Raw genomic sequence first — 12,547 nt, forward strand, 5'->3', positions numbered from 1 at the left:
CAGCCTGTGTTTCTGTGGCCAGAAAGTTGCAGTTCTTCCCACTCGAGGCCACCAAAGTCAGAAAAGTGTTGCAAATGGGACTCCGAGAGGCCAGGCTGAAGCTGCCACACTGGCTGGAATGGGCTGCCTTGGAGGGGGACGTGGGAATCCATTCCAAGGGACGGGGGATTCTTTCAAAGAGCATCTCGCCTGCTTATAAAGGAGGCTGGCTCTGAAGCCGTCATCTGGAGTCTGTAGTGAAGGCCTCTTGTTAGGGAAACTGGATGGTTAGTGTTCAAAATCCATTTTGCGTGTGTGCAAGGACACAGGTGGTATTAAACAGAAGAGAAAATCAGATGACTGTGAAATGTTCAATACTAAATAAGATGATTTTTAGTTTTTCCAGGGGCATTGTTATTTGTGACCACAATGAAAAATGTAGACAGTGATGATCTGGTAACTGGCACACTTCCCAAGCTCAAGAGCTCAAAAGAATGGTTGGAGCCCAAGCCCCTTTGTTTTATGGAGGTATATATCAAATAGTGTGGGATTTGGAGATTTTTTTACTTGGATCGTTGCAGTAGGAAGTGGCTTGTGCTAAATATATTGTTTTTTCTATTGTTTGTTTTTATTTCATTCTGTTTATTATTCCCTTCACTTTACTAACTTTGTATATTCACTTTGCTGTTTTTTTCTAACATCTTAAGGTGGAATCATAGGTCATTGATTATATACCTTTTAAAATGTAACATAGCTATAAGTTTCTCTTGAGGTACTGCCTTAGCTGCATCACCCAAATTTTGATATGATGTATTTATTTATTTATTTATATTTGAGACAGGGTCTTGCTATGTTTCCTCCTGGAATCAAGCCATCCTTCCACTCCCTAGTAGCTGGAAGTATAGGCGCACGCCACCATGTCTGGCTAATTTTTGTATTTTCTGTAGAGATACAAAAAATCTCTACACTGTGTCGCCTAGGCTGGTCCCCAACTCCTGAGCTCAAGCAATCCACCTACCGTGGTGTTCCAAAATGCTGGGATTATAGCTGTGAGCCCTTGCGCCCAGCCAGTTATATTGTTTTTAGATTGTAGTTTCTTTTTTCTAAACAGCTTTATTAAGATGTAATTGATATACAGTAAACTGCATATATTTAAAGTGTGTGTCTGGCACTGTGCCTCATGCCTGTAATCCCAGCACGTTGGGAGGCTGAGGTGGGAGGGTCGCTTGAGCCCAGGAGTTCTATCTAGACCAGGCAGAGCAATATACTGAGACCCTGTCTCCACAAACGAACGAACAATAATAGCCAGGTGTGGTAGCATACACCTATAGTCCCAGCTGCTTGAGAGGCTGAGGCAGGAGGATTGCTTGACCCCAGGAATTTGAGGCTGCAGTGAGCTGTGATTGTGCCACTGCATCCCCACCTGGGTGACAGAATAAGACCCTGTCTCAAATAAAGTGTACAAACTTGGTAAGTTTTGACATGTATACACACGAAAACATCACCACAATCAAGATGGTGGACATATTCAGTACTCCCAAAGCTTCCTTAATATTCTGTTGTAATCCCTCCCTCACATCCCCCCACCACTGCTTTTCTTTCTTTCTCTTTCTTTCATTCTTTCTCTCTCTTTCCTTTTCTTTTTCTTTTCTTTCTTTCGCTCTATCACTCAGCCAGGAAAACACTGGCGTGATCTCGGCTCAATGCAACCTCTACCTCCCGGGTTCAAGTGATCCTCCTACCTCAGCCTCCTGAGTAGCTAGGATTACAGGCCTGCGCCACCACACCTGGCTAATTTTTTTGGATTTTTAGTAGAGACGGGGTTTCACCATGTTGGCCAGGCTGGTCTCAAACTCCTGACCTCAAGTGATCTGCCCGCCTCGGCCTCCCAAAGTGCTGAGATTATAGGTGTGAGCCACTGCGCCCAGCCTGCTTTGCTTTCTGTCACTCTAGTTTGCATTTTAAAAATTGTATACAAATGGAATCTTACAGTATATATTTCTTTTCCTTCTGTTTGTCTTCTTTCACTCATCATAATTATTTTGCCACTCACCCATGTTGTATGTATCAATACTTCATTCCTTTTTTGGTTGAATGCTATTCCCTTATCTGGATATATCCCAATTTGTTCATCCTGTTTATGGACATTTGGGTTGATTCCAGTTTGGGGCTATTACAAATAAAGCTGTTATGAACATTCATGTGTGTGTCTTTGTATGGACGTATGCTTTCATTTCTCTTGGGTAGATATTTAGTTGTGGAGTGACTGGGTCATATGGTAAATGAATTTAACTTTATGAAGCTGCCAAACTAGTTTCCAAAGTCATTGAATTATTTTACATTCCCACTAGTAGTGTGTGAGAGTTCCAGTTGTTTCATAATCTAGCCAACATTTGGAATAGTTTTATTTATACTGATTTATTGTATGGCCTTTTTAACTCAAGACATTTTAAAAAGATGTATAGTGACATCTCATTGTGGTTTTAATTTGCATTTCCTTAATGACTGATTATGAGCATCTTTTCAAGTCTTACTTGCCATTTATCTATCTTCTTTGGCAAAGTGTTTGTTCAAATCTTTTGCCCACTTTAAAATTGGCAATTTTAAGTTGGGTTGTTTGTATTCTTACTGTTGGACTCTTCCTATTGAGATATAATTTACATGCCATAAGATTCACTACTTTTTTTTTTTTTTTTGAGACAGAGTCTTGCTCTGTCGCCCAGACTGGAACGCAGTGGCGTGATCTCAGCTCACTGCAAACTCTGCCTCCCCGGTTCACGCCATTCTCCTGCCTCAGCCTCCCAAGTAGCTGGGACTACAGGTGCCTGCCACCACACCTGGCTAATTTTTGTTTTTGTATTTTTACAAAAAAAAAGTAGAGAGGGGTTTCACCACGTTAGCCAGGATGGTCTCGATCTCCTGACTTCATGATCTGCCCGCCTCGGCCTCCCAAAGTGCTGGGATTACAGGCGTGAGCCACCGGGCGCCCGGCCAAGATTCACTACTCTAAAGTGTACAATTCAGTGTTTTTTATTTTTTTTTAAATTCAGAATTTTTATTTTCAGTGTTTTTTAGTATATTCACAAATCCGTGCAACTGTCACCACTATCTAATTCCAGAACATTTCATCACCCCCAAAAAGAAACTTCACACCTTTTAGCAGTCACCCCCCATTCCCCTCCCTCTCTGGCTCCTGGCAACACTGATCTACTTCCTGTCTAAACAGATTTGTCTACTCTGGACATTTTATACAAATGGTATCATACAATATGTGGTCCTTAGTGACTGCTTTCACTTAGTATAATGTTTTCAAGGTTTGTCCGTGTCAGAGCATAAGCAGTACTTTATTCCTTTTGATGACCAAATAATATTCCATTGTCTCAGTATCACATTTTGTTTATCCCTTCATCAGTGGATGGACTTTTGGGTTGTTTCTGTTTTTTTGCTGTTATGAATAATGCTGCTATGAACATTTTGTGTAACTTTTTAGGTAACATGATTGCAGTTCTCTTGGGTATGTAACCTAGGAGTGGAATTGTTTGTTGGGTCATATGGTAACTATATGTTTAACTTTTTGAGGAACTGCTGAACTGTTTCCCACAGCAGTGATACCGTTTTAAATTTTCATAGCAATGTATGAAAGTTACAATTTCTCCACTGCTCAGAGTTCATTGAACTTCTTGTATCTGTGGGTTTATAGTTTCTGACAAATCTGGAAAATTTTCAGCCATTATTTCTTTTTTTTTTTTCAGCTGAGTCTCACTCTATCACCCGGGTTGCAGTGCAGTGGCATGATCTCAGCTTACTCCAACCTCCGCCTCCCGGGTTCAAGCAATTCTTGTGCCTAAGCCTCCCGAGTAGCTGGGATTACAGATGTGCACCACCATGCCCAGCTAATTTTTGTATTTTTAGAAGAGTTGAGGTTTCACCATGTTGGCCAAGCTGATCTTGAACTCCTGGCCTCAAGTGATCCGCCTGCCTTGGCCTCCCAAAGTGATGGAATTACGGGCATGAGTCACTGTGCCTGGCCTATTTCTTAAATTATTTTTTCTATTCCCTCCATCTTTTGGGAAATACAACTGTATGTACAATAACCTGCTTGAAATTGTCCTGTAGCTCACTGATATTCTGGTAATTTTCTTCAGTTTTTCCCCCGTGCATTTCATTTTGGAAAGCTGCTGTTGCTATGCTTTTAAGTTCACTAACTTTCTGTAATGTCTAATCTGCTAATAAACCTACCTAGCATATTTTTATCTCAAGTATAATTTGTGTCCCTAGAAGTTTTATCTGGATTCTTTTGTTTCGTTTTTTGTTGGTTTGTTGCTGTTGTTGTTGTTGTTGAGACGGGATCTCTCTATGTAGCCCAGGCTGGTCTTGAACTCCTGGCCTCAAGTGATCCTCCTACCTTGGCCTCCCAAAGCACTGGGATTACAGGTGTGAGCCATCATGCCTGGCCCTTAGCTCTTTTTCAAACATTTTTTTCTGTCTCAACATGTCTAGTCTTCTAGCTTCCCTAACTTATGAACTACAGGAATAATAACTTTTAATGTCCTGGTTTAATAATTATAGTGTCTTTGTCATTTTGGGGGCAGTTTTGGTTAATTTTCCTTCTTATTATTGGTTAAATTTTCCTATTTCTTTGTATACCTGGTGATTATTGGTTAAATTTTCCTATTTCTTTGTATGCCTGATGATTTTTGATTAAATGCAAGACTGTGAATTTTAACCATATTGAGTACTAGATATTTTTGATTTGCTATAAATACTCTTTTTTTTTTAAGTACAAGTGCACAGATTTCCCATAAATATTTTTCATTTTTCCCCTTGGATTCAGTTAAGTTACTTGGACACAGCAGGATTCTTTCAGGTCTTGCCTCCGAGTTTTGCTTGACAGGACCACAGCAGTATCTACCGTAGGGCCAATTTTGTTTCAGTACTGATACAAAACCTCTCCAAATACTCTACTCTATGCACTTCAAACTATGGGAATTTTTTTTTTTTTCCTCTGGCTGATGCTAAAGGGAACAAACACTCCTGGGACTGTGTGACCTCTAGGGATTGATTCCCTAATTCTTGCAGGTGTTTCTTTGCCCATTGTTCCTTTGGGCATGTAGTGTTTACGATCAGCTGAAGACTCAAGGGGACCTCTGCGGTTGACCCTTTGCAGTTCTCCAGAGCTCCATCTTTCTTGTAGCTCTCCTCCCTCTAGTACTCTAACCTATGAACTCCAACTGCTCTGGCCTCTCCAGACTCCCATCCCCACTCCTCAATTCAGGCAGACAGTTGGGCTGTTTGTTTTCTATTTCTCAGGGGCCACTGTTCTTCTTTGCCTGATGTTCGATATCTTGGAAACTGTTGTTTCATCTATTTTATCTTTTTTTTTTTTTTTTAGTTGTTTCAGGTGGGAGAGTAAGTCTGTTTCCTGCTACTCTGTCTTGTTCAAAAGTGAAAGTTCTCATCCAGACATTATTTTTTCAAACAGTTGTTTCCTGCTCCATTCTTTTACTCCTCACTTCTGCAACTCTATCCATTTGCTGAATCGTTTGATATTGTCTCATAGGTCACTATGACTCTGTTTATTATTTTCTAATCTTTATTCTTCCTTTTTTTTCAGATTGGGTAATTTCTAATAGTCTGTCTTCAAGTTCACTGACTATTTTTATGTCATCTCTAATCTGCTACTAACCCATTGAGGTTTGTTTATTTCTCAAATTTAAGAACTGTATTTTCCACTTGGTTTTTTATCATTTCTATTCTCTGCTAAGATTTTCTATTCATTAATTATAAGCATATTTTTAAGCATAGCTATCATAACTGTCCTCAAATCCTTGTCTTCTTTTTTTCAGATTTTCATGTCAATATAATTTTCTTTTTATTTTTCTTATTTTACTTTAAGTTCTGAGATACAAGTGCAGGACGTGCAGGTTTGTTACATAGGTATATATATGCCATGGTGGTTTGCTATCAACCTGTCATCTAGGTTTTAAGCCCTGCATGCATTAGCTGTTTGTCCTAATGCTCACCTCCCCTCACCCCCAGCCCTCGACTGGCCCTGATGTGTGTTGTTCCCCTCCCTGGGTCCATGTGTTCTCATTGTTCAGCTCCCAGTTATGAGTGAGAACATGCGGTGTTTGGTTTTCTGGTTCCTGTGTTAGTTTGCTGAGTATGATGGCTTTCAGCTTCATCTATGTCCCTGCAAAGGACATGATCTCATTCCCTTTTATGGCTGCATAGTATTCCATGGTGTATATGTACATTTTCTTTATCCAGTCTATCATTGATGGGCATTTGGGTTGGTTACATATCTTTGCTATTGTAAATAGTGCTGCAATAAACATACATGTGCAGATGTCTTTATAGTAGAATGATTTATATTCCTTTAGGTACATACCCAGAAATGGGATTGCTGCGTCAAATGGTATTTTTGGTTCTAATATCCTTGAGGAATCGCCACACTGTCTTCCACAATGGTTGAACTAATTTACATTCCCACTAACAGTGTAAAAGTGCTCCTGTTTCTCCACAGCCTCACAAGCATGTATTGTTTCTTGACTTTAATAATCACTATTCTGACTGGCATGAGATGGTATCTCATTATGGTTTTCATTTGCATTGCTCTAATGATCAGTGATGTTGAGATTTTTTTCATGTGTTTGTTGGCCATGTAAATGTCTTCTTTTGAGAAGCATCTGTTCATATCCTTTGCCCACTTTTTGATTTTTTTTTCTTGTAAACTTGTTTGTTTTTTGTAGGTTCTGGATATTAGAGCTTTGTCAGATGGGTAGATTGCAAAAATTTTCTCCCATTCTGTAGGTTTCCTGTTCATTCCAATGATAGTTTCTTTTGCTGTATAGAAGCTCTTTAGATTAATTAGATCACATTTGTCAATTTTGGCTTTTGTTGCAATTGCTTTTGGCATTTTTGTCATGAAGTCTTTGCCCATGCCCTGAATGTTATTGCCTATGTTTTCTTCTAGGGTTTTTATGGTTTTGGGTTTTACATTTAAGTCTTTAATCCATCTTGAGTTAATTTTTGTATACAGTGTAAGGAAAGGGTCCAGTTTCAGTTTTCTGCATATGGCTAGCCAGTTTTCCCAGCACCATTTATTAAATAGGGAATGCTTTTATTAAAGGAATTCTTTATTAAAGGGGAATCTTTTCCCCATTGCTTGTTTTTGTCTGGTTTGTCGAAGATCAGATGGTTGTAAATGTATGGTGTTATTTCTGAGGTCTCCATTCTGTTCCATTGGTCTATATGTCTGTTTTGGTACCAGTACCATGCTGTTGTGATTACTGTAGCCTTGTAGTATAGTTTAAAGTTAGGTAGCGTGATGCCTCCAGCTTTGTTCTTTTTGCTTAGGATTGTCTGGGCTATATGGGCTCTTTTTTGGTTTCATATAAAATTTGAAGTAGTTTTCTCTAATTCTATGAAGAATGTCAATGGTAGATTGGTGAGAATACCATTGAATCTATAAATTACTTTGGGTAGTGTGGCCATTTTCATGATATTGATTCTTCCTATCCATGAGCATGGAATGTTTTTCCGTTTGTTTCTGTCCTCTCTTATTTCCTTGAGCAGTGGTTTGTAGTTCTCCTGGAAGAGGTCCTTCACATCCCTTGTTAGCTATATTCCTAGGTATTTTATTTTCTTTATAGCAATTGTGAATGAGAGTTTATTAATGATTTGGCTTTCTACTTGTCTGTTGTTGATGTATAGGGAATGTTTGTGATTTTTGCACATCGATTTTGTATTCGGAGGCTTTGCTGAAGTTGCTTATCAGCTTCAGGAGCTTTTGGCCTGAGATGATGGGGTTTTCTAAATATAGAATCATGTCATCTGCAAACAGAGACAATTTGACTTCATCTCTTCCTATTTGAATACACTTTATTTATTTCTGTTGCCTGATTGCCCTGGCCAGAACTTCCAGTAATATGTTGAATAGGAATTGTGAGAGAGGGCATCCTTGTCTTGTGCTGGTTTTCAAAGGAAATGCTTCCAGCTTTTGCCCATTCAGTATGATATTGGCTGTGGGTTTGTCATAAATGGCTCTTATTATTTTGAGATATGTTCCATCAATACCTAGTTTATTGAAAGTTTTTAACATGAAGGGATGTTGAATTTTATTGAAGGCCTTTTCTGTATCTATTGAGATGATCATGTGGTTTTTGTCATTGATTCTGTTTATGTGATGGATTATGTTTATTGATTTGCATATGTGGAACCAGCCTTGCAACGCAGGGATGAAGCCAACTTGATGGTGGTGGATAAGCTTTTTGATGTGCTGCTGGATTCAGTTTGCCAGTATTTTATTGACAATTTTCGCATTGTACTTCAACAGGGATATTGGCCTGAAGTTTCCTTTTTTTGTTGTATCTCTGCCAGATTTTGGTACCAGGATGATGGCCTCATACAATGAGTTAGGGAGGAGTCCCTCCTTTTCAATTGTTTGAAATAGTTTCAGAAGGAATGGTACGAGCCCTTCTTTGTATCTCTAGTAGAATCCAGCCATGAATCCCTCTGGTCCTGGGATTGTTTTTTTTTTTTTTTTTTTTTTTTTTGGTTGATAGGCTATTAATTACTGCCTCAATTTCAGAACTTGTTATTAGTCTATTCAGGGATTCGACTTCTTCCTCGTTTAGTCTTGGGAGGGTGTATGTGTCCAGGAATTTATCCATTTCTTCTAGATTCCAACATATGGGTCATTTCAGAGTTGGTCTCCATTGATTGTTTTTTTCTTAAGTGTGGATCACATTTTTCTGTTTCTTTATATATCTAGTAATTCTAGATTACATTTTGGACATTATGAATGATACATTGTGGAGGGTCTGGATTCTGTTATATTCCTCTGAAGAATATTGAGCTTTTGTTTTAGGAAGCAGTTATCTTTGCTGAACTCAATCTCCAAACTTGTCTTTCCTGAAGTTGGCAGCAGATGAAGTCACGGTTTAGTCTTTTTTTATCTTAAGCTGGGCTACATGGAGTCTGCCTTATGCATATACAGTTCAAGAGTTTGCCAGATATTTGGTCAGAGTTCTTTTGCAGAATTTGTGGCATCCTTTCTTTGGCTCCCTCTTTTCCAGTATTTTTCCTCTCACCTTCCAGCTCCCATGCTTACCCCAAACTCTGTCTTCTAATTCCTGAACCAGTTAGGCCGCATGTTTCTATCTGAGTTTTAGCCACCTCCTTTACCTCAGACTAAGGCCCTTTCTCAGGCAAGTTAATAAAAAACTGGAAATTCATCTAGTGCTGTTTTTTTTTCTTGGTGTTGAATAGCATTCAGTAACTTCCTGCTTTTTGATCACTCTCCAGTGTCTTCAGGTTGTTGTTTTTTATATTTTTTATCTGGAATGTTAATTCACTACCCCCTATCTGAGTACAGACTTTCCAGGAAGGGCAACTCTATGAGGCAAAAATAACAAAGAAAACAAACTAGAGTAGACTCATTTGAGTTTTCTATGCTTCTAGTTGTTGCTTAGCTCCCATGAGCCTTGGCTTCTTTGGATGTTAATGGGGAAGGACAGTTCTTAGATAATGAGATTTTACTCATCTGTCCTGGAAATAAAAGCAGTGGGACTGAAGACAACTACTTTCACTGACAGTTAACTTGAGAATATTTTATTTGTATGTAATTACATGAGGATCTCAAAGGCAATTCTGTGCTAGAAATCAACTGCTTCCATTTTCTGGCAGGTATTTAATAATTGTGGAACATTTGTTATAAAAATGGAAAAATTAATGCTGTCATAATTTTGTCACTAATATCACTGTTCCCTAAAGATTGTGTTATTTCAAAATCTGAAAATGTGACTTGTATATAAAAATAGGATTTGACTGGGCATGATGGTGGCTCATGCTTGTAATCCTAGCACTTTGGGAGGCTGAGGTAGAAGCATTGCTTGAGCTCAGGAGTTTGAGGGTACAGTGCGCTATGATCATACTACTACACTCTAGCCTAAGTGACAGAGCAAGACTGTCTCCAAAATAAGTACATTAAAAATAAAATTTATTAATATTTATTTGATAGCCATATTCACTAATGATAAATAAATTTGTTCCAATTATATTTATGTCAATACTGTCTAAGAAATTTGTTTCAGTCTTTTGGGTAATTTGTCAATTGTCATGGAAAAATTAAATGAATATGTTTCCTTTTATTTTAATAAGAGCTTTCATTTTGAGAAGATCTAATTACTTGTTTAATTATAATTTTACATTTTATAGACAGTTGTGAGTTAATGGATAAAAATATAACTCATTTCCTTGATTTATTATATCCATAGGCTTATGTTTCAGTAATTTTCAAAAACAAAATTAGTGGGTGAATTCATTATGGAAGAACACGAAAAAGAACAGGAGATTGAATAGAAAGTCTTTCTAAGACCTTGTATTATTGTTCACTAGTGACATTTCTTCTATGTATAGAGTTTGCCTTAGGTGGCACTAAGCTTTTAGTGAAACTGTTGACATATTCTTAACTAGTTCTGTAAGAATCAAGGCTGGAAGATTAGTATGTCTTGCATAGTCAAAAAGCCTCAAATAGAGGCCTAATTTAATCTATTTTAACCCAGAAAAGTAAAAGCATTTTATAGGAAGTGAAAAAAGATGGATTGTAACTACCATGTGACTCTGGAAAAGACATTTGAACATTTTGGGACTCAAAGTGTCTGTGAGCTGAGTTATATTTTGGTGTAGCCAAGAGCAGACAGATCGAAATACTGTTTAAAAAGCACTTGATGGGCTGGGCACAGTGGCTCAGGCCTGTAATCCCAGCACTTTGGGAGGCTGAGGCAGGCAGATCACTTGAGGCCAGGAGTTTGAGACCAGCGAGGCCAACATGGCAAAACCCCGTCTCTATCAAAAACACAAAAATTAGTCAGGCATGTGTTGCACACCTGTAATCCCAGCTACTTGGGAGGCTGAGGCACAAGAATCGCTTGAACCCTGGAAGTGGAGGTTGTAGTGAGCCGAGATGGTGCTGGTGCACTCCAGCAGCCTAGGCGACAGAACAAGACTCTGTCTCAAAGAAACAAACAAAAAAAAGCACTCGATGATATGATTTGGAGGAAACAAACTGCATGCATAGAGAACTTTCCAGGGATATGTCTGTCATGCTAAATATAATGATTCCAGATAGCACTAATAGTTTTTAAAGATTTTCTTTTCAAAGTTTAATTCTGTCCTTTCAGGTTTTAGCTAAAGAAGATACTGAGGCAGCTATTCAATCAATATTATACAAAGAAAATTCTGTAATTAAGGTAAGAATTGGCTACAAAATGCATCTCAGTTAAAAATTAAATGTAGTTTTTCCTTTTTATATGTAGCATATTCTATAAAAACTATTTAGAAAATATGGAAAAAAGAATTAAAAGAACACTCCCTTGCACCTGGAATTAACCTTAAGGGATCTCTGAAATTGCTCTAATGGACTTCCTCCCTTCCTATACTTTGTGGGAATTCCTTTGCAGAGAGGCACAGAAATTTTCCTCTACTCACTTGTTTCTTTGTCTTAGTGGGTTTCAGCAGTCACTATAAATGAGCTAACCCTTAAGAGCTGTTAGCAGAACACACTGACTAATTATTACTCAGATATACATAGAACAGGGTTTAACTGAGCCAGGATGGGCTTAATGTGACAAGAAGAACATCCATGTGAAGTGTACTAAACACCAGGGACACTGGAGTGGGTAACCTGTTTTTATTTTTAAGAAATTTCTTTAGAGCTCTTTAAAAAGGAAAGGAACTAACATTGGGAATGGCTGAAGTGTGCTATGGCCAGAGGTTAGGGAGGGACTCGGCCTAGCAGACCTCTCAGGGTTCTTAATATTTTATTTATTTCATTTTGAATTTCACGCTCTTCCTAGTAGTCACATGACTTTATTTGCTATATGAAAGGTGAATGAGAAGGTTTAGTGAGAATGAATTAGTTTGTAGCCTAATCAAGCATCATCTTTGCAGGCTACTTGCCACTTGGATTAGGTTATGCCACACTTCTGCCTCTTTACTCTTGCCTTTTTTTTTTTCTGAAGGTCAGTTATAGTGAAGGGTTTTTTTTTTTTTTTTTTCCATAGAATGTTTTTCTTCCTCTTTTTCTGCCATCCCTTCTCTTCCTGGATAACCCTTCTTTTTTTTTTTTTTTTTTTTTTTTTTGAGACAGGGTCTCACTCTGTCACCCAGGCTAGAGTGCAGTGGCACAATTACAGCTCTCTGCAGCCTTGGCCTCCTGGGCTCAAGTGATTCTCCTGCCTCAGCCTCCCAATTAGTTGGGATTACAGGTGTGAGCCACGGAGCCTAGCTAAGTTTTAATTTTTTTTTGAAACGGAGTCTTACTTCTTTGCCCAGGCTGGAGTGCAATGGTATGATCTCGGCTCACTGCAACTTCCACCTCCCGGGTTCAAGCAATTCTGCCTCAACCTCCCAAGTAGCTGGGATTATAGGCACGTGCCAGCATGCCCGGCTAACTTTTGTATTTTTAGTAGAGACGTGGTTTCACCACATTGGCCAGGCTGGTCTCACACTCCTTACTTCAAGTGATCTGCCCACCTCGGCCTCCCAAAGTGCTGGGATTACA

The 12,547-nt window shown here is 38.6% G+C and overlaps 1 protein-coding gene across 3 annotated transcripts in view, besides 1 other annotated feature; it reads left to right on the forward strand.

Moving 5' to 3' along the window:
• Positions 1-12,547, forward strand: part of FAM228B (family with sequence similarity 228 member B) — a 92,806-nt gene that overhangs the window by 47,121 nt on the left and 33,138 nt on the right. For 2 of the 3 annotated variants that reach the window (NR_111929.2, NM_001291328.2), the window contains exon 4: positions 11,166-11,234. Coding sequence is in view for 1 of the 3 variants with exons in the window: in NM_001145710.2 (NP_001139182.1) it covers positions 409-507; positions 11,166-11,234 (168 nt within the window). In the remaining 2 variants the exon portion in view is untranslated. Of the gene's footprint in view, positions 1-376; positions 508-11,165; positions 11,235-12,547 lie in introns of all 3 variants that reach the window. The other variant, NM_001145710.2, reaches the window with a different exon arrangement.
• Positions 18-267: an enhancer, noted in NCBI's record as "active region_15427". NCBI's record gives its function as "activates an Ori minimal core promoter by ATAC-STARR-seq in GM12878 lymphoblastoid cells {active_cell/tissue: GM12878}" and the evidence as "EXISTENCE:reporter gene assay evidence [ECO:0000049][PMID:35858748]".

This window comes from Homo sapiens, chromosome 2, assembly GCF_000001405.40.
Source record: "Homo sapiens chromosome 2, GRCh38.p14 Primary Assembly".
Classification (NCBI taxonomy): domain Eukaryota; kingdom Metazoa; phylum Chordata; class Mammalia; order Primates; family Hominidae; genus Homo; species Homo sapiens.